General features: G+C 40.3%; 1 protein-coding gene across 23 annotated transcripts in view, besides 2 other annotated features; it reads left to right on the plus strand.

Moving 5' to 3' along the window:
- The window catches only part of FGD4 (FYVE, RhoGEF and PH domain containing 4), a 246,493-nt gene that overhangs the window by 154,186 nt on the left and 67,271 nt on the right, over positions 1–25,036 (plus strand). For 14 of the 23 annotated variants that reach the window (XR_001748576.2, NM_001370298.3, NM_001384126.1 and 11 more), the window contains 2 exons: positions 10,394–10,546; positions 22,523–22,706. Coding sequence is in view for 14 of the 23 variants with exons in the window: in NM_001370298.3 (NP_001357227.2) it covers positions 10,394–10,546; positions 22,523–22,706 (337 nt within the window). In the remaining 9 variants the exon portion in view is untranslated. Of the gene's footprint in view, positions 1–10,339; positions 10,547–20,982; positions 21,126–22,522; positions 22,707–25,036 lie in introns of those variants that run through there. The other 9 variants (NR_168884.1, NM_001330374.2, NM_001330373.2 and 6 more) reach the window with 4 other exon arrangements.
- Positions 9,237–9,921: an enhancer, noted in NCBI's record as "H3K27ac-H3K4me1 hESC enhancer chr12:32715914-32716598 (GRCh37/hg19 assembly coordinates)". NCBI's record gives its function as "activates a minimal SCP1, AML or CMV promoter by ChIP-STARR-seq in primed H9 embryonic stem cells {active_cell/tissue: H9 hESC(primed)}" and the evidence as "EXISTENCE:reporter gene assay evidence [ECO:0000049][PMID:30033119]".
- Positions 12,887–13,388: an enhancer, noted in NCBI's record as "NANOG hESC enhancer chr12:32719564-32720065 (GRCh37/hg19 assembly coordinates)". NCBI's record gives its function as "activates a minimal SCP1, AML or CMV promoter by ChIP-STARR-seq in naive H9 embryonic stem cells {active_cell/tissue: H9 hESC(naive)}" and the evidence as "EXISTENCE:reporter gene assay evidence [ECO:0000049][PMID:30033119]".

The raw sequence follows: 25,036 nt of genomic DNA on the forward strand, positions 1-25,036 counted from the left end.
GAGTCTCAAATATTGGCAGCCTATAATGCATATAAGTTAGTGATCCTAGTAAATGTAAATAAAATAATAAACAGAAACATGCTGGGCATGGTGGCTTATGCCTGTAATTCCGTAACTTTGGGAGGCTGAGGCAGGAGGATTGCTTCACACCAGGAGTTAGAGACCAGCTTGGGCAACAGAAACCCCAATTTTTAAAAAATCAGCTGAACGTGGTGGTGCATGCCTGTAGTCACAGCTACTCAGGAGGCTGAGGTGGGAGGATCACTTGAGCTCAGATTGAGGCTGCAGTGAGTTGTGAGTGCACCTCAGTCTAGGTGGCAGAGTGAGGTCCTGTCTCAAAAACATAATGATAAATGAAAATAATAACAGAAACATTCAGTCAATAACTGGGATTTTTTTTTACTGTTACTATTTTTTATCAAGACAAACATCTGGAGAGTTCTACAATTCCAGATGCTTACCAATCTGCTTCTGGGTTGTGAAAAAATTATTTGGGTATGTATAGCTTTTAACTTTTTTTTTGTTTGTTTTAACTGAATATTGAGGATTTTGGTAGAATAACTTTGAATGTTTTGGATTTTAGATTTAAATGGAAATATCAAATTTTATATAGGTTGGGCTCTAGATATTTCCATATTGTCAGAATTTAGAAAACATCTTTTATGAAATAGAAACTAAGAATTTTGGCAAACAGAGAAAGTTGCCCAAGGTCTCCAGAATTCATTTGTTTGACAAATACATATTGAGCATCTACCCTGTGACAGGTGGTATTCCTGGGATTTGTCAGGAGCACAATTGCTGCCTTCCTGGAGCTTACATTCTAACCAGGGAAAACTGACAATAAACAATAAAAAAAGTAAGTAAATAATGTAGTTTGTTAGAAAGCCATAGGTGCTACAGAAAAAAATAAACTATAAAGTAGGGGTCGGACTAGCAATAAAACTAAATAGTGTGGTCAGGGTAGTCCATGTGGACAAGATGCAATTTGAGCCAAGATTTAAAAAAGATAAAGCAATTAGCCTCAAAATAATCGGGGGGAAGAACTTTCCAGCACCAAGTAGTTTGCTCGGCCTGTTGGAGGAATAGCAAGGAGCCAGTGTGCCTGGAATGGAATGCCCAAGGGGCAATAGTGGCCATAAGGTAAAAGTGGTAATGGGGCTAAGGCCAGATCCTATAGAGCTTACAAACTACTGCAAAGAACTTGAGATTTTACTCTCAGTAGAATGTGGATCCATTGGAGAATTTTAAGCACAGGATCTGACTTGGGTTTTAAAAGGGTCTCTCTGGTCCTGGTTTGACAATATGGACTGCACTGGGAACAAGGGAAGGAGCAGGGGTCTTACTGCTGTAATTCAGTTAAAAATTATGGTAGTTTAGGCTGGAATAGTAGCACCAGAGATAGTGCTAGATGGTAAAATCTGGAAATATTTTGAAAGTAGAGCCACCAGGATTTCCTGGTGAATAGGATGTAGAGTATGAGAGAAAAAGAGGATTTGGGGTGTTTCCAAGGTTTTAGCCTGTGCATAAATGGAGTTATTACTATTGATTCAGAGAAAACCTTAAGGCAGCTACTTTTAGATAAGAGTTGGGTGATGAGGGGTTCAGATATGAATCTGTTGATAGTGAGATGGCTCTTAGACATACTGGGGAAGATGCTGGTAGGCAACTGCATGTGTAAATCTGGAGACGGGTGAGGTCTGCAGTAGAGATTTAAGTGTAGGATAATCTCAACATGTGGAAGGCATGGAAGTGTGGGTGCAAGTGGGAGACGAGAACCAAGCACTAATCCAAGTGCACTTCAATATTTAATTTTAAGAGACAAGGTCTTTTTTTTTTTTTTTTTTTCGAGATGGAGTCTCGCTCTGTCACCCAGGCTGAAGTGCAGTGGCGCCATCTCGGCTCACTGCAAGCTCCGCCTCCCGGTTTCACGCCATTCTCCTGCCTCAGCCTCCCGAGTAGCTGGGACCACAGGCGCCCACCACCACGCCCGGCTAATTTTTGTATTTTTGGTAGAGACGGGGTTTCACCGTGTTAGCCAGGATGGTCTCGATCTCCTGACCTCATGATTCACCTGCCTCAGCCTCCCAAAGTGCTAGGATTACAGGCGTGAGCCACTGCGCCCAGCCGAGACAAGGTCTTTCACTCTGTTACAGCTGGAGCACAGTGGTGCAATCACAGGTCACTGCAATCTCAAACTCCTGGGCTCAAGTAATCTTCCCAAGTAGCTAAGACTATAGGTGTGCACCACCATGCCCAGCTAATTTTTTTTTTTACTTTTTGTAGAGATAGTGTCTTGCTGTGTTGCCGAAGCTAGTCTCAAACTCTTATCTTAAGCAGTCCTCTCTCCGTGGCGTCCCTAAGTGCTGGGATTACAGGCATGAGCCATCATGCCTGGCCAGGCACTTTAATTTTAAAGAGCCTTTAATATGGTTTCTTGCCATGTCAGAGATAAGAACAGCTTAATATTTCTTGACTTTTCCTTGGTTAAACAAGGGGTATGCTTTAAAATTTTTTTTAATTTTAATTGTGGTAAAAGGTACTTAAAATTTGCCATCATAGCCATTTTTAAATGTACATTTCACTGTCATTAAATACATTCACCACTATCATCCACAGAACTCTTCATCTTGCAAAACTGAATTCTGCACCCACTAAACAATAACTCCCTTTTCTTCTTCCTCCCAGGTCCTCAAAACCTTCATTCCATTTTCTGTTTCTATGATTTTAAAGTGGAATTATACAGTATTTCTCTTTTTGTAACTGGCTTATTTCACTTAGCATTATGTATGTCCTCAAGATTCATCCATGCTGTAGCATATGATAGAATTTCCTGCTGGGCGCAGTGGCTCACACCTGTAATCCCAGCACTTTGGGAGGCCAAGGTGGGTGGATCACCTGAAGTCAGGAGTTCGAGACCAGCCTGGCCGACGTGGTGAAACCCTGTCTCTACTAAAAAATACAAAAATTAGCTGCACATGGTGGTGGGCGACACAGCCTCCCAAAGTGTTGGGATTACAGGTGTGAGCTGCTGCGCCAGGCCTGCTTCTACTCTTTGACTATTGTGAATTAATGCTGCTGTGAACATGGATGTACAAATGTAAGGGATATGTTTTTGTTTTTTGTTTTTAAGATGGAGTCTCACTCTGTCACCTAGGCTGGTGTGCAGTGGCACAGTCTTGGCTCACTGCAACCTCCGCCTCCCGGATTCAAGCAATTCTCCCACCTCAGTCTCCTGAGTAGCTGAGATTACAGGTACCCACCATCATGACCAGCTACTTTTTGTATTTTTAGTAGAAACTGGGTTTCACCATGTTTCCCAGGCTGGTCTTGAACTCCTGACCTCAGGTGATCTGCCCGCCTCACCCTCCCAAAGTGTTGGGATTACAGGCCTGCGCCACGATGCCCAGCAGGGATATGCTTTTTTAAAAGTCTCTGTGATATGTATACTTGGTGACTTTCATAGATTTTTAAAAATATAAGTGATATATAAATACATTTTTATTATAAAAGATTTAAATGATATAGCTGTTAACAGACCAAAATATGAAAATTCTCATTCATTCTCTCACCTCACCTCCATCTGCAATTCCCAAAGTTACATTTGGTGTGCTATCTTCCCTCTCTTTCAGTACATTTCTATACATTTGTCTATAACTTATTCTTTTTAAAAACTGAGATATTATACATATTCTACAGTTTAATAATGTCTTGGAGACCTCTCAATTATTTATATTTTGGAAATATTCCCAGTCTGCTGCATATGTTCTATAGTGTTATATTTACCTTTACATGTACAGGGCTATTACTGTAGATTAGAGTCCTAGAAGTGCATGCAGTTCCTAGGTCCAAGGAACTTTCTTTAACTCTTCATCAGATTTTCTTTTTGAAGAACCTTTGTGGCTTGATAATTATGTTTCTAGAAAATTTATTATTCAGGTTTAGAAGTTTGGGGAGCTGTTTGAAATAACACTCAAATAAATTTCCTGGCTATGGATTTGTTCCCCATAGCAAGAGAGTTGTAAACTATGAGTTTTATAACCTTAATGTCTTTTTTTTAAAAAAGGCAATTGATCTCTTAATCTAGGTGTTTTAGCTAGCATATGGGAGATGTAATCTGCAATCTATGGGACAAATGGGGGAGTTTTGGGAGTTATGATAGAAGACTGTTGAAAAATGTTTTATAATAATGTTTTACAGTAGAGAAACCTGGTAGATGCCACCTCATCAGCCGACCAGGGTTAACATCACATGATAATCATATTGCTATCATGCAGTGATATTAATATAATAAAGTGAGATGGGTGCATTGCCTCTGTGATATTCTTACCCCAAACCCATAACCACAGTCTCATAATGAGAAAATAACAGAAACCCAATTTGAGGGACATTCCACAAAATACCTGACCATGTTCTTCAAAAGTGCTATGGTGCCAAAAGTCATGCAAGACAAATCTAAGTAATTCTCACAGGTTGTAGTACACTAAGGAGACAGTGAAAACTAAATGCAAATAAAGTGGTTTTTGGTTTTTTAAAGTATGTTTATCCTTATGGACAATATGCTCCCATAAAGATCGTCTACCCTAGAAAACTGTGTCTTCCCTCTTAAATCCAAGAGATGCTTGTCCCAAAGGGTGGACCCCATTGAGATCTCCTGGGCTAGAGACCCAGTGCATGGATGGATGAGACAGTATAAGCAAGACCGTATAAAGCTGTGATCTGAGCTCATGGACACTGTGGTAAGAGGTCAGGCTCGAAGAATCAGAGAACTGAGTGGATTTTGCAATGGATAGCCAAAGAGAGGGTCCAAACTTAAAATGCGAAACAATAATTCAAGAATGATTTGGTAAAATGTAATATAACAGCCTATAACAGAGTCTAGCAAATAGTAGCCAAAAGTCACCCTAACCAATCGTAGGGCATATCTACCACACAAAAGTGTGACTTAGCGCATGACTGTTTAAATGCCAAAAAAGACAGATAAAGGAAAGTTAAGCCATAGTGGCAACCTCTGCAGTTGGAACGAGGGAGCTATATCAGTCAACAGTGAGGCTAATTGAGAATATTTGAGGTTGGCGTATGTCTAGGGATTCCTATAGGAGATACAACCCAGCAAGCATAGGTCAGCAACCCAAGGTCAGAGTACAAAATGGGTTAATACTAAAAAGTGGTTAAAAAGATGACCAGTCCTCAAGAGGAGATAGTATTTAAATCGGATACCTCTCCTTCCCCATGCTAACTAACATACTGTAATTTGTTATGGCTGTTTCTAAGGTAACTGTTTATAATTATAAATCAGCCCTACTGGTTCTTCTTGATATTGTAATTTGCAATCAAAGAACCTCTAGAGTTAATGTAAAACTTCTTGAATGAGAGACCATCTGGTTACAATTTTGGTTTCAATTCCCTGTTAGGCAACTGACACCCAAATAAGGACTGTTTCCAAATATGAGTAGGCTAAGTCAGTCATAAACAAACAAAAAGTTTCAGTTTTTGTTGCTATTATCCAAGATGTTAGCAGATGAAGTGTTTAATGAAAGGGTGCTTCTTTTAGGCAAACTTCTTTTACCATGATTTGTTTAACCTATACCAGTGGTCCGTACATTTTTTTCCTGTAAAGGGCCAAATAATTATTAATAGTATTTTTAGCCTTGCAGCCACGTATGATCTCTATGTATTTGTCATTGCCTTTTTGTTTTTTTAAACAAATGTTTAAAAATGTAAATGTTCTCTGTGTCCTTCACCATGTTTTCATGCTTTGTGATAGTGGCTGAAATTTAGAGACTTGTTTTAATAAACAATGTTCTGAAATGTTGATCTAATTGCCTCTGGCAAAAGATGTGTAATCATGACTTTGATGAACTTATTTTAAAAATAGATGCACAGTTGATCTCTTATTGCACGCATTTTGGCACATTCGTGGGAGATATTCTCTGTAAACATGACACTTGCGAAACCTACCATACCCTGAAAGTTTGCTGTCTAGAAATTAAGTGCCTAGTTTTCATTCAAATTAATATTTAGGTAAGACATGTTTTATTTCTAAATAGACTGTCAAACATTTTTCATATTTTAATGTGTAATGGTGATGACCTTTTTAAAAAGACTCAACGTAATTTGTTTTCTCATTTAACCCATTAACTGCCCCCTTTGTGTAGTATTGTTGCTGCTTTCTCTTATAAATTGATGATGTCTCAGGGTCTCAATTTACAATTACATTAGTTTCTTCCTCTAGTTTGTAGTTGAGCTGTGGCTCTGCACTGTTGGGGCCTGTACAGCCATCCTTCACTAGACCCCGGGAGGTGGCCTTTAGTAGGCTCAAAGGTGGCCTTTAAGCCATTCTTAGTATCACTGTGAAAAAGCATCCAGATTTTCCCCCTGAAAGGCCAAGTGGTTGCATGATGTGTTGTGGATTTTAGGGATATACTTTGCCTATTTCACATACTTTTTTCCAAGAAGATAGATAAGCTTACACATGTAAAGGTTTCAACTGTATTTCTTCTGTTTATAATTTTATTTATTTTGAGATGGTGTCTCGCTCTGTCACTCATTTTGGAGTGCAGCGCAATGGTGTGATCACGGCTCACTGTGGCCTCAAACTCCCAGGTTTAAGCCATCCTCGCACCTCGGCCTTCTAAGTAGCTGGGACTACAGATGTATGCCACCACACCCAGTTAATGTTTTTTGTATTTTTTTGAAGAGACAGGATTTTGCCATGGCTGCCTACCTGGTCTCAAACTCCTGGGCTTAAGTGATCTGCCTGCCTCAGCCTCGCAAAGTGTTGAGATTACGTGAGCCACTGCACCCAGCCTTTTTATAATTTTAATAATAATCTGTCAATCTTTCATTACTTTTGCCTTCTAAATTCTTGTTATATTTTACTAAACAATGCTTAATCTCGCTGATAAACCATTTTAGCAGAAGTATGTCTGATGAGGACCACCCCTGCCTTTTTTTTTCTTTTCTCAGAGTTGCAAGGTCTCCCTCTGTTGACCAGGCTGGAGTGCAGTGGTGTGATTATAGCTCACTGCTTCCTCAACCTCCTGGGCTCAAGAGATCCTCTCACCTCAACCTCCCCAGTAGCTGGGACCACAAGCGCGCACCACCATGCCCAGCTAATTTTTATTTTTTTTAAGTAAAGGCAGGGTCTTATGTTGCCCAGGCTGGTCTCAAATTCCTAGCGTCATTTAATTTCTGTTTTGGTATTGGCTCTGAAAGAACTGTTGAGACAATACTTGGAACTCTTGATATTTTCCAAAATCTGTTTTACCAAGATAAATTTTAAGGAGAGCAACAGAAAATAAAGCAGAAATGTGGTTTCTTTGTTGGGTTTTGTTTTTTTTTTTTTTTTTTTTTTTTTTGAGATGGAGTTTCACTCTTGTTGCCCAGGCTGGAGTGCAATGGTGCGATCTCAGCTCACTGCAACCTCCCCCCATCCTGGGTTCAGGTGATTCTCCTGTCTCACCCTCCTGAGTAGCTAGGATTACAGGCGCCCACCACCACATCTGGCTAATTTTTGTATTTTTAGTAGAGACGGGGTTTTACCATGTTGGCCAGGCTGGTCTTGAACTCCTGACCTCAGGTGATCCACCCGCCTTGGCCTCCCAGAGTGCTGGGATTACAGGCATGAGCCACCGCACCTGGCCCAAATGTGGTTTCTAATCAATATTATTTAATAATGAATTGGATTAAGAATTTTTTGGGTTTTTTTTACTCAATAGAAAGTTGATTGGGTTTTTTAAAAATAGCTTGTTTTCAATAATTAAGGCTTAAAAAAATCTCTGAGTTCTCTTTGAGATATTTGGATTCTATAAAAAATGAAACTCTTTGTTTCTTAACCAAATGATAATTCCTTAAATTGCATTCTTTGATTCAATTATACTGAATTTCCTGGTAGAAATTTTATTTTCTCTGAAGCAGAGTCAGTGGTCTTAATATCACCATGTCAACCAGAAGAGAAGGAAATCTAATATGCATAATAGAGAACACTGACACATGACTTCTTTAAAAGTCTCTGAAATTCAACATATAACTTTTTATACCAGAAAGTGAACAAACATTTAATCCTTCCTCTTCATCTATGTCTCATGATGTATTTGTGTGATTTTAAAGAACATTTTGGAGTTTTTGAGTTCTATATAAATGTGACCATGTTATCTGTATAATCTTGCCATCCTTTCTTTGGAAAACATGGGTCACCGTTAGCGTATGTCATGGATGTTGATGTGGAGTCTGAGTAAGCTAGTGGGCGAGAGGGTGTGTGTGTGGACGTGGGCGCATGTGTGTATTTGTTAGTTTCAAATCGAGCCATTCTTCTAGAGTCTTTAGGTCAGCTGTCACGTTGGGCTTTCCTCCTTTGTTCTTTTGAGTTGCTCTGTGACTAGCCACAGACCCAACACTAAAAAGGAAGGCTTTTAACGGATTAATTCCGTCCTTTCCTTCGCCTACATTGTAGCAGCTGCGTTCTGCCCTTTCTGTGGCCCTGCAAGGAGAGGAGGCCTGTGTATAACAGTCTTCTGTCAACATCCATTATAAGATTCCTAAAGCACATGGAATGAGATAGTTCCCAGGAAAACTCTTTGTCAAGGCCAGCCCATGTGGGAAAAGTGTTTCTATGCTTAGTCTTGTAACTATGACTGTTTTTGTTTTATGGGGTCAGGGGAAATTTAACTTATTTTATTTTTCTTTTTTATTGATCATTCTTGGGTGTTTCTCGCAGAGGGGGATTTGGCAGGGTCATAGGACAATAGTGGAGGGAAGGTCAGCAGATAAACAAGTGAACAAAGGTCTCTGGTTTTCCTAGGCAGAGGACCCTGCGGCCTTCCGCAGTGTTTGTGTCCCTGGGTACTTGAGATTAGGGAGTGGTGATGATTCTTAACGAGCATGCTGCCTTCAAGCTCTGTTTAACAAAGCACATCCTGCACCGCCCTTAATCCATTTAACCCTGAGTGGACACAGCACATGTTTCAGAGAGCACAGGGTTGGGGGTAAAAGGTCACCGATCAACAGGATCCCAAGGCAGAAGAATTTTTCTTAGTACAGAACAAAATGAAAAGTCTCCCATGTCTACTTCTTTCTACACAGACACGGCAACCATCCGACTTCTCAATCTTTTCCCCACCTTTCCCCCCTTTCTATTCCACAAAACCGCCATTGTCATCCCGGCCCGTTCTCAATGAGCTGTTGGGTACACCTCCCAGACGGGGTGGTGGCCGGGCAGAGGGGCTTCTCACATCCCAGTAGGGGCGGCCGGGCAGAGGTGCCCCTCACCTCCCGGACGGGGCGGCTGGCCGGGCGGGGGGCTGACACCCCCACCTCCCTCCCGGACGGGGCGGCTGGCCGGGCGGGGGGCTGACCCCCCCCACCTCCCTCCCGGACGGGACGGCTGGCCTGGCGGGGGCTGACCCCCACCTCCCTCCCGGATGGGGTGGCTGCCGGGCGGAGACGCTCCTCACTTCCCAGAGGGGGTGGCTGCCGGGCAGAGGGGCTCCTCACTTCTCAGACGGGGCGGTTGCCAGGCGGAGGGTCTCCTCACTTCTCAGACGGGGCGGCCGGGCAGAGACGCTCCTCACCTCCCAGACGGGGTCGCGGCCGGGCAGGGGCGCTCCTCACATCCCAGACGGGGTGGCGGGGCAGAGGTGCTCCCCACATCTCAGACGATGGGCGGCCGGGCAGAGACGCTCCTCAGTTCCTAGATGGGATGGCGGCCGGGAAGAGGCACTCCTCACTTCCTAGATGAGATGGCGGCCAGGCAGAGACACTCCTCACTTTCCAGACTGGGCAGCCAGGCAGAGGGGCTCCTCACGTCCCAGACGATGGGCAGCCGGGCAGAGACGCTCCTCACTTCCCAGACGGGGTGGCGGCCGGGCAGAGGCTGCAATCTCGGCACTTTGGGAGGCCAAGGCAGGCGGCTGGGAGGTGGAGGTTGTAGCGAGCCGCGATCACGCCACTGCACTCCAGCCTGGGCACCATTGAGCACTGAGTGAACCAGACTCCATCTGCAATCCCGGCACCTCGGGAGGCCGAGGCTGGCGGATCACTCGCGGTTAGGAGCTGGAGACCAGCCCAGCCAACCCAGCGAAACCCCGTCTCCACCAAAAAAGTACGAAAACCAATCAGGCATGGCGGCGCGGGCATGTAATCGCAGGCACTCGGCAGGCTGAGGCAGGAGAATCAGGCAGGGAGGTTGCAGTGAGCCGAGATGGCAGCAGTACAGTCCAGCTTCGGCTCGGCATCAGAGGGAGACCGTGGAAAGAGAGGGAGACCGTGGAAAGGGGAGAGGGAGAGGGAGGGGGAGGGGGAGGGAGAGGGAGTGGGAGAGGGGAAATTTAACTTATAAGGCAGTATTGTGATATGCCTCCATACTTACCTGCCCTTTCTTTCTGAACTCTTGCAGGCAGCAGTACCTGTCCAAAGATCGCTTTAGTTCCACCTTGCTCCACAAGCAGCACAACCACACTGGTTGGTGAGAATGTATCTGAAGAAGAGGCTCAGGGAATAAATGGGAACAGGCCAGCAAAACACTCAGCTGCAAGTCCAAAGCCACAAGGTATGCTCACTGGGAGTTTGTGTTCGGGGTGGGTACGTTGTTGATCAATGAAGGCTAACCAGAAAAATGATGGCCACAAAGAAAGTGTTTTAAGCTAGAAGGAAGGAATTGGGTACATTATTTTTTAGAGAAGAGTCCATCTGTGCATCTTCTCAGGCAGAGGTTGCTATTTGTTCTGCTCCTGAAACAACATACATTTCTCTATATGGATCTTTTCATGTTGCTGAAATTGTTTGCATGTCATCTTAACGGAACTGTGATCTCTTTATTATGCCTGATCTAGTACAGGGACTTACTGTCTGTGTAATAAATGTGTTTGGAGCTACTGTTAGAAAGAAATGATTTGCTAGATGTCAGTATCTGTAAAACATAATTCTAAAACAGCACTTCGTGTACTTATCAAGCATGTGACTTGAAAATATTAAGGAGGTAGGGCATGAAAACACCTGATAGTAAGGTCTTCCGCAGAAAGGAACAGTAACAGCCCTTCATTCAGGATTGAGTGGCCAGTGAGGGTAAAGAAAAAGCCATAATGGTAGGAAGCTTGAATGATTTTTTTCAGTGACCATTTCCTTTTACAAAGAAATTTCCAGTGAACTGGGTATTAACTTTGAGAAGCACAGAATTATAGTTTTGATGATAGAGAGCAAGGCCTTTTGAAATGGAACACAAAAGCTAAGCTACCCTACAGTTTAATGTGTAGTTTCTTCCTTACAGATTTTCATTTATAGTGAATGCTAAACAGATATGAGAAATAATACTGGGCATTGTCAGAATTACTACAGTTGGGAAAAATCAGTTTCTATTTTTATTTATTTTGTGTTTACTTAGTTCTCTTTCCTGTTCTTGCAAAGAAAAATGTATTCTAGAGCATGCATTATAAAATAAGTGGTGTTATTCCTTAAAGTTGTATGTTTTAAGGATTTCTGAAAGAAAATTTTAGAACGAGTTTAAAATGAATCTTCTAGATTATGGGATATTTGTCTTGTTCTCACTACAATTATATTTGTGGTGGTATGGAATATCACTATCAAGCAAGGTCAGATAATTGATGATTCAGATGAGTAGCCTATTCATGAGCTTACAACCATTTCTTTTGACTACACTGCTCCCTTATAGCATTGACGTGAATATAAACATAGGACTTTTTTTGACCATGATTTAAGCCTTTTTATTTCCAAAATATAAAATTCCATTTCGCCCATTAGACCCGAGTTGACAAAGATCCAGTGTGAGGTAAGAATATTAATAATGAATACAATTGTAGTTGTAATTTTCCTGATCAAAGGAAGAATTTCATTACTTAAAAAGCCTTTATTTTTGGAAGATGCAGTGCAATACTTCGTTGTTTTCCAACGTCAGTGTATTGAGAGATATAAGAGTGTCCTTTCTGAGTTGCATGTGCCAAAATAATCCCCTTTTTAAGTAGACAACACTTAACCTTGCTTTTGCTGTTGTGTAGTTATATTAAAGCCACGATATAGTTATTTAAATACATATTTACTTCCTATGTTAAATATGGGCTAATTATGTATATATACTTTTCTAACTAAAGGGAATATTTGCAGATATTAAATAAATCATGGAGTACTTTATACTTCTTTTTCAAAATACTTTCAGGCAGTGTTTGGCCTTTCCCTGATACCCATGGCTAAAATTTTAACCTCACCTTTCACCCTGCCCTTTTATATTTCCCTATGTTGTAGTCTGTTCAGGCTGCTGTAACAAAATACCATAAATTGGGTAGCTTATAAACAATAGAAATGTAGTTCTCACAGTTTTGTGATCTGAAAGTCCAAGATCAGATTCAGGGTCTGATGAGGGCTTGCTTTCTGGTCCACAGGTGGGTCCAAGATCAGATTCAGAGTGTAATGAGGGCCTGCTTTGTGGTCCATAGATGGCCATCTTTTCACTATAACCTCACAGGGTGGAAGGGGTGAGAGGTCTCTCTGGGGCCTCTTTTCAATGGCACTAATTTGACTAATGAGAGCTCAGTCCTCATGACCTACTCACCTCCCAAAGGCCCCACCTCTTCATATTGTCACCTTGGGAATGAGGATGGCAACATGAATTTTGGGACACAAACAAACACTCAGACCACAGCACTCCGTATGAACTTTATTTTTTCTCATTCATTACAACCTGACCTGCTGTATGTTTTACTCATCAGCTCAGTTTTTTCTGCCTATGTGTCCGCTCACATAGTACATAACCAGTCTTCAATAACACTGCTATATTGCTGCATTTCTTCCCCTTTGTTTCTGCTATTCTTTAAAACTTTGAACATGCGCCATGCAGGGACCAACGTCCCTGAAACGAGGCTACATCTTAGTATTGTCAGATGAGCTGCCACATAGATTGGTCAGTAAGTCAATCAACAGTACCCAGTAATGAGTGTTTCTTACTCTTTAGTGGAGAGAAGCTGATTTTAATTTCTCCTAACATTTGGGTGATGGAGGCAGAGAAGAGAAGGGGGTGTTAATAGGGACCTACTGCATGGACCAAGGAATTATCACCCCCGACACCTTTGTTCCTGCCTCACTGCAAATCCCTTACAAGTTGTGAATGGTGAGGTTGCTGGGACTTCAAGGTCACTATGTGTGTGGTCCTAACAAGGGAAGTGGAGTCAGGCTGGCAGGAGCAGGGGAAAGCAGAAAGAAAAAGCAGATAAACTGTTAAGTCTGCCTTTCTTCCTGGTCCAGGGCGTGTAGCCCTCCTGTGCAAATAACTCACAATCTTCCTGCACTTATCACCAGACACTGTGGCTGATAGAAAAATGAAAGTTAGCTCACTGCAACCTTGGCACTGGCATTATCAGTACTGCATGTAGCCCTCTCCAGCACAAGCACCATCCTATAAAATCCCCAGGAAGCCTTTGTCTCTTTGTAGTCAGCTCCTGTCTTGCTGATCTGCCTGTTGCTTTCTTGCAGTGTTATTTTCATACTTTGTGTAATAAATATGCCTTTCTCTACCTACAACTGTCTTGGTAAATTCCTTTACTGCCAACACCACCAGCCCCGGATAGTTGCTACCCACAACACTATGTTGTTTTAGTTTAATTTAGGACTCTTATTCTAGGTGAGTAGTTCTCAAGCGGAGACAGTTTTGCCCACACTTGCATATCCTCCCCCGACAATAGGACATTGGTAGTATCTGGGGACATTTCTGCTTGACACTGCTTGTGGGAGTTGCTACTTGCAGCCAGTGAGTGCAGGGTAGGGCTGTTGCTCTACATCCTGCAATGCACGGGACAGTCCACAACAAAGAATTCGTACAAACTATAATATCAGTTGCTGCATTTGCAAAACTCTCACCTAGATAAAAATAAGCACGTAATTATATCTTTTTTTCCTTATGTAGATTGCTAAGAAGATTATAGTCACAATTTATTGTGGGCTTTTTTTTTTTTTTTTTGAGAGAGAGGGTTTTATTCTGTCACCCAGGCTGGAGTGCAGTGGTGTGATCTTGGCTCACTGCGGCCTCCCCTTCCCAGGTTTGAGTGATTCTCCCACTTCAGCCTCCTCAGTAGCTGGACTACAGGAATGTACCACAACGCCCAGATAATTTTTGTATTTTTTGTTAGAACCTGGGTTTTACCATGTTGGCAAGGCTGGTCTCAAACTCCTGACCTCAGGTGATCTGCCTGCCTTGGCCTTCCAAAGTGCTGGGATTACAGGCATGAGCCACTGTGCCCAGCCTATTGTGGTAATTTTAAAAGGGGAAAGTATTGCACATCTTTATTAGTGGTGATTATGTAGTAATGTCTCTGGAACAATATATGGTTTACGTTTTTGTGTTTATTAATTACCAGTAAGTAAATATTTTTGAAGAATTATTTATAGGTTTTTAAAAGGTGAATGAGCTAAGTTTTATTTTATTTTAAACCTGAAAAAGGAATGACCAGAATGGCAGCCCTTTGCTATTTCAAAATCAGCAGAAAGAAAGAAAGATAAATTTTAGATTAGAGATTGGATAAACTTGCATTTGGATCCAAATTGGAATATGTAGATTTTGAAATGGATTTGTTTCATAATTAGAGCTTGTTTTGCCTCAGCCTCAGAAAATACCCTAAGGCCTTGGAAACAATGGCTTATTCACTTCATACCAATCCTAATAGTCAAACAAATTACTGAGCAACCTCCAGCATAAGTCTTTCTTCTTGTTCACCGCTTTTAATACTGGCCTGTTTCCTGCCATGCTAGACAGTGACTCAAAATAGCTCCTTTAGTAATTAAAGTTAATAGTTCTTTTTCTCTTAACAGCTTCTATCCAGAACATTCTCCATAGTTCCTGATTATTTTTATAAAGTGCAAATTGTCACATAATATCTCAATCATTAAATGCTTTAAAGAGCCACATTGTTGTTTGAGTAACTTACATAAATATAGAGTACTTAAACCTATTCATTTGCTTCTAAAGTAAAAATCTATGTATAATGATCCATTCTTTTAAAAGTGTAATGTTATAATGCATTTATACATAGCCAGCTTTTGTTGTTTCTGTTTTCAAAAAGAAGAGTAATTGAAGACTACTGACTTAAACTGGCAATTGGTTTCTTTTCATTCTAGATAATTACTTTGAATGATCAATTTTTTTTCCTATTTACATCTATAAATTTGGGTGTAATAAAACCCATCTTATTTACAGTCTGATAGAGATCTCAAATTTAGTGTATATGAAACTGAACTGCTAACTGCTATTCTCCTCTCCAAAAATTGCTCTGCCTGCTATGTCACTTGACCATCGTTCCATCCTTCTGGTAGTTGAGACCCAAGGCTTCAGAGTCATCCTTGCCTCCCCTCTCTTTCTCTCATATGTCTAATTTAATCTTATCAGGAAATCTACTTTAAAAATTTACCTAGAATCCAAGTATCTCTCACTACCTTTTCCTAAGCACTGTGATCTCTTGCCTGAATTTCTATAATATCCTCTTAATTGTCCACCCTGCTTCTCCCCTGTTTTCCTCTACATTCTCAACACAGCTCCCAGAGTGATCCTGCTGAAAGTTAAGTTATATCATGTTACATTTCAGCCCAGAACCCTGCAGGGACTTCTCATTTCATGCAAAGTCAAAATAAGTGGTCCAGAGTCTACTTTCTCAGGCCTCCCTATGCACTACTTTTGTCCACATGCCCATTCTGCTCCAATCCTGCTGGCCTCCAGACCCCAGCTGTCCCTGGCTGTCATTCCATCTGCTGGAAAGCCCTTCCCCAAACAGTTCCTTCCACTTCAAGGCTTACTCAAATCCCAGCTTTTCACGGAGGCCTGACTTTGAACACCCTGTTTAAGACTGAAATCTGCCCTCCCTTTGACTTCCCACACCCTGGATGGTATTTATCTTGTTCTTTTAGCCCTCACCACGTTTTCTCCTAGCACTTACCTCCTTCCGATAAATGATTTACTTGCTATTTTTTTGTTCATTTTTCCTTTGCTCATTGATAGGCTCAAGTGGCTAGAACCTAGTAGATATTCAATAAGTATTCATTTAATTAATGAAAAAGTGAAAATAAACACCCTATATAGAGGTATAAGAATTGTTCTAGGATATATATTTTCTAAATGCTGAATTCTTAGTGGTTTTATAAATTTATACTGTCATCAAAAATGTTGTGTTCACATTGCTTCATATCTTCACTGACACTTGGTATTGTCAGATTTAAAATTCTGGTCAAGCTGGGCGTGGTGGCTCACGCCTGTAATCCCAGCACTTTGGGAGGCCGAGGTGGGCGGATCACGAGGTCAGGAGTTCGAGACCAGCCTGGCCAACATGGTGAAACCCCATCTACTAAAGATACAAAAAATTAGCCAGTCGTGGGTGGTGCGTACCTGTAATCCCAACTATTTGGGAGTTTGAGGCAGCAGAATTTCTTGAACCCAGGAGGTGGAGGTTGCAGTGAGCTGAGATCGCGCCATTGCACTCCAGCCTGGGCGATGGGGCAAGACGCTGTCTCAAAAAAAAAAAAAAAAAAAAAAGAAATGCTAAAATTCTAGTCAATCTGATTTGACTGAAATGGTGTCAGCTTATGGATTTAATTTGTATTTCCCTGAAATACTAATAAGTGAGGGTGAACACCATTTTTCCTGTCTATATCCTTTGGACTGTTAGGTCTTTTAGTTAATAGTGCATAGGAGTTTATTTATTTATTTATTTACTTATGTATTTAATTTTTTTTTGAGGCAGGCTGTCTATTGCCCAGGCTGGAGTGTAGTGGCATGATCTCAGCTCACAGCAACCTCCACCTCCCAGGTTCAAGCGATTCTCCTGCCTCAGCCTCCCAAGTAGCTGGGATTACAGGCATGTGCCACCACGCCCGGCTAATTTTTGTATTTTTAGTAGCGTGGGGTTTCGCCATGTTGTTCAGGCTGGTCTCGAACTCCTGACCTCAGGTGAGCCACCTGCCTCGGCCTCCCAAAGTGCTAGGATTACAGGCATGAGACATCGTGCCTCAGTTTTTTATTCTGATTGTTATTCCTTTCTTCCTTATAATACAAAATAATACAAAATAATTCCAGATAATACAAAAGTCTTATCTGGGTCTGTAAGATCCAGTTCTTCACAGGGCCTTGTAGAAGAGCCAAGGATGGCAGAACAAAGAAGGGGGCAGATGAAGGGCATTCTTATATTTTGAAACTTTGTATCCTGCCACAAAATTTCACATAGATGTTATATGGTTATCTTAAAAATAGACGTCTCATATATGTTAATCTTGTGCAAGTACAAAGTGCTTTCACAGGTCGGGTTCTTTCGTGTGTTTTTAAATCATTTTCTAGTCATTTACTTCTCAAAGTAGCTGTGTGTTACTTTTTCAGTCTTTGATAGGAGCAGTAAGATTAAATATGAATTTGTTTTATGAAATAGTGATTTTCCTTAAGAGTTGAATGTGGCTGGGCACGGTGGCTCACGCCTGTAATCCTTGCACTTTGGGAGGCTGAGGCAGGCGGATCACCTGAGGTCGGGAGTTTGAGGCCAACCTGGCCAACATGGCAAAACCCTGTCTCTACTAAAAGTACAAAACTTAACTGGGTGTGGTGGCAGGTTCCTGTAATCCCAGCTACTCTTGAGGCTGAGGCACAAGAATCACTTGAACCTGGAAGGCGGAGGTTGCAGTGAGCTGAGATTGCACCACTACCCTCCAGCCTGGGTGACAGAGTGAGATTCTGTCTCAAAAAAAAAAAAGAAAAAAAGAGTTGAATGTTAACCTATAATCATGGGTTACAAGAAGTATTGAGCTGAAACAAAGATGAGATTCATTTCCTGTTAATCAAGGAACTCAAAAGTCTAGGGAGGCAACCCTGGTTGTAAAATATTATAAAACAAAATGACAAATGTTAGTTGAGAAGATATTTGAAGATTTTTGAGGCAGGGTAGGAGGGCAAGAGGTGGAAGAGTCAGATAAGCCTTCTTAAAAAGTTGATGACTGAGGTGAGCCTTGTGGGAATTAGGGGATTTTGCCAAGTGGACCATTCTAGGTATGCGCCAAAGCCTGAAGGCCTGAAAAAACCTTACCAAGCTTACAATGGAAGATGCAATTCAGTGTGGCTGGAATCTAGGCTGCATAGGGGGTGGGAGAGTAGAGATGAGCCAAGCAGTAAGAAAGTTCCCAAGAAATCTATTTCAAAAGAAAATGAAGCCAGGAGGGGTGGCTGTCACCTGTAATCCCAGCTACTCTGGAGACTGAGATGTAGGATCACTTATGCCCAGGAGTTTGAGGTTACAATGAGATATGATTGCACCAGTGCACTCCAGCCTGTGTGACAGAGCAAGACCATCTGTGTGCGTGCGTGTGTGTATGTATGTTTACACACACACATACATACACACACACGCATAAAAGATAAAATAGAAAAGAAAATGAACCTACTGTGGTGGCTTTCCAATAGACATGTTGTTTTCATTTAGCTCTAGATATATAATAAGGTTCTTACAACATGATTCTGCAGTTGTTCATATCCTAGCAGAATTGTACTTAGCTGATCTTATTCAGCTAAGTAAATGTTATAGTAGGTATATTGGATTCAGGGCACCTTTTACCTGAAAAGCTTACTTGCTCTAGGGAGCTTAACAATCAAGTAGGGAAAGACTGTGTTTGCATACTACACTGTTCTCAGAGTGTGAAACACAAATCTGGAAATGATTTTGCTAGTTTTAAATGTCACACTATTGATCTCTAGAATTAATATTTATCTGATGAAAGGGAAAAAAATCTAAATAAATAAATAATTGAAATACCAAGAAGAGGAGGAATCGGAACTTTAGGGTTTTCCATTCTCATCGTCTGTAATGCCAATAGAGACTGATAATAAACTGCATCCTTAGAATATTGCCTACAATTTATAATCTTTTCCCTTCTTACATAACTAATTTGGGAAATCTTTTTAAAAGTGAATAATTGTCTATTTGATAAAATTGTAATTTCTTTAGCCCTTGATTTTTATTTTCTTTTTAGTTTTATAATATAGTCTTCATAATCTGGATTATGTTGCTATGCAAAGGATTTACTGGTCCTTTCTAATTTGTGATCTTGTATATGTGTTTATGTCAGTTTAATTACCTTTTAGGTCTCCAGCTGGACCTATCAATTAAACTGACATAACAACAGATTAGCAGAACAAAAACATACAAGAGATATAAAGGCCGTTGGCTGCAATTTGTTTGGTTGCCCAGAAGCTAAGAAAGGTGGCCATGAAGAGAAATTTAGTCTCAATAATTTGAAGTATCAATTCCTGGGTTGCTTCTACCATCTGTTGTCATTTCCTCTGGGTACAGACTATTAGACTGAAACATGAGATCCTGGTTTTTAACTGGAATTGGATTTTTTTTTTGAGACGGGAGTTTCACTCTGTCGCACAGGCTGGAGTGCAGTGGCGCGATCTCGGCTCACTGGAAGCTCCGCCTCCCGGGTTCACGCCATTCTCCTGCTTCAGCCTCCCGAGTAGCTGGGACTACAAGCGCCCGCCACCAAACCCGGCTAATTTTTTGTATTTTTAGTAGAGACGAGGTTTCACCGTGTTAGCCAGGTTGGTCTCGATCTCCTGACCTCATGATCCGCCCGCCTTGGCCTCCCAAAGTGCTGGGATTACAGGCGTGAGCCGCCGCCCCTGGCCTGGTATTGGATTTTTTTTGCGTCGTAAGTACATAGCATACAAGATTTCTTTTTCTTTTAGTCCTGCGTTAGATATTCCTCAGTTAACTCCATAACTTTGGGAGTTGAAAGAATCATTTTCATTCATCAGTTAGGTATTTTGAGGCAAAGTATCTGTTACTTTTATTACATTATAAATGATGAACAAGTGATAGAATTTTTTCTAAGACAGTGTGTCTAACTTTAGTCATTCATGTATCATCTTCAGATTTGTCATATCCATGTATCATTTGTTCTTTTTTATTTAAAATGTGTATATTTACTGATTTACTGTACATTTACATTTTCTCCCTTGCTGAATTTGATACCTCCTCTGTGCTTCTAAAATACCTGTGTACCCAGTGTTCACTTTTATCAACATCATTAAAGTGCCTCTCCACTAGTATATGATCTCCTTGATGACACACTAAGTATAATGTTCCAAACATTTGCCAAACATAATGCAAATAGACACTATAAATATAGCTGTGATCAAAAGTAATATATTCCTTACCTTCATCAATTCCTGCCTTGTGGAGGAAAAAAAACCTTTAAATTCATAATATATTTACTATTTTACTGCAGCTTTATTATTTAATCGTACTCATTACTAATTATTTAATAATTATGCCACAAATTGTGATAAGCAATTTGGAGAAAGCACACAGTGCTTATGAAACAGTTTAAGAGGTGGACACAATTTAGATTGGGAAAGTGGGTAGAGTCATCCCTGAGAAAGTGATGGGTATCATTGTATTTTAGTTTTTCTCTCATCTGGCACATAATAAATAAGGCATGTTTAAGTGAGTAAACTCTAGGTAGATGAATGAGTTATTTCATAACAATTTTAGCACACAAAATTATATTCACTTCCTTTAGTATTCTAGCTAAGAATGTTGAATTATTCATAACCTTAAGTGTTTTTTTTTTTTTTTTGGGTGGGAGATTTTCCTGTTTTACTGCATTAGTTCATATTTACTACTCATAATGTTAAAAGGGTTTTTTGGTGGGAGATTTTCCTGTTTTGCTACATTAGTACATACTTATTCTACACAGAAGTTTTTTTCTGTAAAATTAACAAATATTACACTTATATAAGCCCCATTGTTCCCAGATAATACTATGTTAATCACTCCCCCAAACATATGTTGGAAAATATCATTTTCACAAAAGAAGCATGCCATTTTTAAATTGAGATTTTCTTATTGTTTGTATTGAAAGAGAATTAAGTGAATTAATTGCTCCACTTGTAGTTCATTGTGACATTTCTTTCCTTCCCTATAATAAATTGATAACTGGCACTGAAATGATGAGATCTAGGCCAGTGAGCATGAGCCAACTGTCAGCTAACTGAGTTTATAAAAGAGATGAGATCACTAAAAACCAGGGGAACCAGCTGGGGGAAAATGAGGCATGTAATTAGGAGGCGACATGACTCCTCACCCTTCTTCCAGAAGGTAAGAAAAGGATTTAAGGAAGAAAAAAGATGATTCTATTTGATCTGTCAACACTGCTTATTTAAAAATACTACATGTTATATAGTATTTTACCCTGAATGTTAATCTTAGAGAAAAGTAATACTGGTTTTCAAAAATGAAGTAATTTCTTTACTGATTGTGCACTTACGGCATATTATTTTATCATCTACAGTGTGTTAGGGAAACTCTGTAGATTTTAGTATTTCATGAAATGATCTTTATTTATCCTATTAATTGATTGAAGGACTTATGAAGAAAGTAGATGATTTGTGGTATATTGATGCAGGCCAACCATCTTAAGCTGTTTAGTGTTGTTATATGGGAATACCCGAAGCTGGGTAATTTATGAAGAGGCTTATTGGGCTCACAGTTCTGCAGGCTGTACAGGAAGCACAGTGCCACCATCTGCTTGACTTCTGGTGAGAGCCTCAGGCTGCTTCCATTCATGGCAGAAGATAAAGGGTAGCTGGCATGTATAAAGATCACACGGAGACAGAGGAAGCAAGAGAGAGAAGGGGGAGGTTTCAGGCTCTTTTTAATAACCAGTCTTGGAGGAACTAATGGAGCAAGAACCTATTCACTATGGCAAGAATTGTACCAAGCCATACGTGAGGGATCTGCACACATGACTCAAACCCCTCCTATAGTTCCCACCTCCAACATTGGGGACCAGATTTCAACATGATGTTTGGAGGGGACAAATATCCAAGCCTGTAGCACCAACTCTGTTACCCCAGGTCAGTCACTAAACCTCTCTAAGCCTTCATAGACATAAGAAGAGAATAGTAGTACCTACCTGAGAGAACTATAAAGTATAAAATTTCATCAAAGATCAAATGAGATAAAGTGCTTTTGTTAAATGGGAAGAAGATGCTATATTAATGCAACATTGTATTACTGTTGTTTGTTGTTGTTTTGTTGGCTTTTATGTTGTTTAACTTATTAGCTGTGGATTCTGGTATATCAACTATAACTATTAGAAAACCTGTTTTGTAGCAGACAATGTATCTCTAGGATTTAGTTTTAAATTTAGCATCACCTTTTCCCTGTTGAGATGAATAACTGCTGTGTTATCTGTAATAGACCTTAGAATGCTTTAGCCTTATGTGGATTCCTAGGTGTTTAATATTGCCATATTTAAGATGCAATAAAATTAAAAGAACCACTTAAGTTTGGAGATGGGATTTCCACAAGGCATGAAGCAAATGTCCAAAATGAACAAAAGTCTTTTGGTTATGGTTTAGTTCAAAATTTGACACCTGCCCCCTTTACAATAATTTTATAATGCTGAATATTTTTGCACCCAGGACACCAGAATTTTTATTGTTATTGAACAAAATATCAGTGAAATACTATATTCTATTCTTTTTCTACAGTGCCTCCAAAGCCATTACACCTGCAGAATTCACCTTCGTCCAATATACACCAAACCCCCAGGCATAAAGCTTTACCTAGTGCAAAACCAAGGATGGAGGAAATTAAACCTGCCTCTGCTTCTTGTGTCTCAAAAGAAAAACCCAGTAAGGTATCAGATCTCATCAGTCGCTTTGAAGGAGGCAGGTAAGAGCTAATTTACAATGGGAGAAGGCAGGAGAAGAAGAAAGCTGATTTTCGAAAAAATGATAGTCATAGATACATTCTAAATAAAAAGCATAATATCTTATTCCATTAGGTTTGGTAGGCCTTCAGAAAGGGTGAATTTTTAAAACGAATGACTTAATCTTACCCTAATATGAACTGTCATTTACTATGTATTAGCTAGGTACAGTACTGTAGGCCACCAGCTTTTTCATGAAATTGTGTGCTTTGGTATCTGTGTGCTTTCTCTCGTTTCCTCTGTATCTCTGTGTGTCATTCTCTATGTGTTACTCCTTGTGGGTCATTCTGTGGGACGCTCAATATCTGGGTTGGAAAGTCTGAGCGGATGCCTCTGTCTCTTCGTTTCTCACTTTGTATGTTTGTGAATGTGACCCCTGTGGGCTTGTCTCCTCCCTGGGGCCCTCTCTTCTTTCCATCCCATTTTATTTAATGTGGGTCTTCTATACCCATTCAGTCCCGGTTTCCCCTCTCCATATACTCCATCATATGCTAGGTTTTGCAAAGAGATATTATTACCAATGACAAAATGTATGCTAAATTTCAGTTTTGTATTTATTAAATATAATTTATATTCTTTAGTCCCAATGTTTGGAAAAAACAAAGGTAGGTGAAATATTATATTTCTCATTTAAAGATAAACAGAACCCACATAAGTTGCTTTTCTCCTTATAAAACTCTCAATTGTTTATTTTTTCTTAGTCTTTTGATAAAAAGAAATTTTGTCACTGACTTAAATATAATTTTAAGCAATTTTATCAGTAGAATTTTGTTACCTGTCACCAAAAGTCTATGTACAACTAAACAGAATGTGTATAACTTCAATTTCATCCTTGAAACCAAATATTTTCATTCATTTCAGTGTAATATTTGGGACTTGTTAACCATTAGGGTGATTTTATTATTTATTTGTCGGATTTACTGTTACTTATGTAATGAAATCATAGCTTGGAAATAGTTTGATTATCTTCTGGGAATTGTGAACAAGCACAAAACCTGCAGTGTCCCTCATTTTTTAAATGGGTCTAACAGATGTTGGTTCCTCCTATCAATTTCCTGTGACAACTCAGAGGCCCCGTCTATTTTACAAAGTTACAAGTTCTGGAGAGAAGCCTGTCTTCAATTTTCATTCCTGATACATTGTAGGAACTTTGGTCATAAATATTTCAACTTCAGCCTCTCTTCCTCTGAAGTAGGATTTATAGGACCTTTGCTATCTTGAATTACAGTGATATTTACTTAGAATGGTTTAATTCCATTTAAAACTTTTTTTTTGCTGCTCAGGGTAAATTGACTTGATAACAACAGAGTGACCCCTCATGTTTGCAAATTCCAGGGGCCATGCCTAGTGACTGCATAATAGGAGGGGCTGGAGCCCTGATCCCTGTCATAAGGCATGTCAGAGCCTGCATCCCTAGATTTCAGGGATAACTCTCTGAAGCCTGGAAAGGGTCAGTATTCCAAAGGCTGCGTCCTCTCATCCTCTCCATTTTGGTTAACCCACTGCATTGTTTTAGATTCCTCTACATGAGAACTGTTTGTACTTTTTCCACTTAATGTTTTTTTAATCATTCAAGCTTCATAAATTCAATCCTGTTTTGATGCAAAGGTTGAAGGTTTAATTCATCTAAGGAAAAATGTGCTATAATTTATGATTTTTTTTTAAGCAAGTTTGTTCCGAGTGCAAATTGGGTATAGTGTGTTTTGGCAGGTCTGGTGAAGAAATATTATTTGTGGTAGAGTCCACTGCCGATACAAAAAACAATGTTATGTTCTCAGTGAGGTATTACCACTACAGACTGGCCACTAAAGTGTTTGTGTGGGTTAATACTGCATTGGATCTATAGGACTTAAGTAGGAGATTTGTATTTACTGTTGAGTGATATCCTTGCCATTGCAAGGGTCGTTTTCATTTTTAACCTTCCTTATGAGAGCTTAGACTAGCTTTGTAAAATAGAGGGAGGCTCTGAGTTGTCACAGGAAATTGATAGGAAGAACCAACATCTGTTAGAGTGGAGTCTGGTCAGAATGGTCATATCATACTGTTGTTAAGACCTTACCCGGCTGGGTACGGTGGCTCATGCCTATAATCCCAGCACTTTGGGAGGCCACATTGGTTGGATTGTCTGAGCTCAGGAGTTCGAGATCAGCCTGGGTAATGTGGCAGAACCGTATCTCTACAAAAAATACAAAAATTAGCCAGGTATGGTGGTGCACGCCTGTGGTCCCAGCTACTTGGGAGGCTGATGTGAAAGGATTGCTTGAGCCCCAGGAGGTCAAGGCTGCAGTGAGCC

Source organism: Homo sapiens, chromosome 12 (assembly GCF_000001405.40).
Source record: "Homo sapiens chromosome 12, GRCh38.p14 Primary Assembly".
Lineage (NCBI taxonomy): Eukaryota > Metazoa > Chordata > Mammalia > Primates > Hominidae > Homo > Homo sapiens.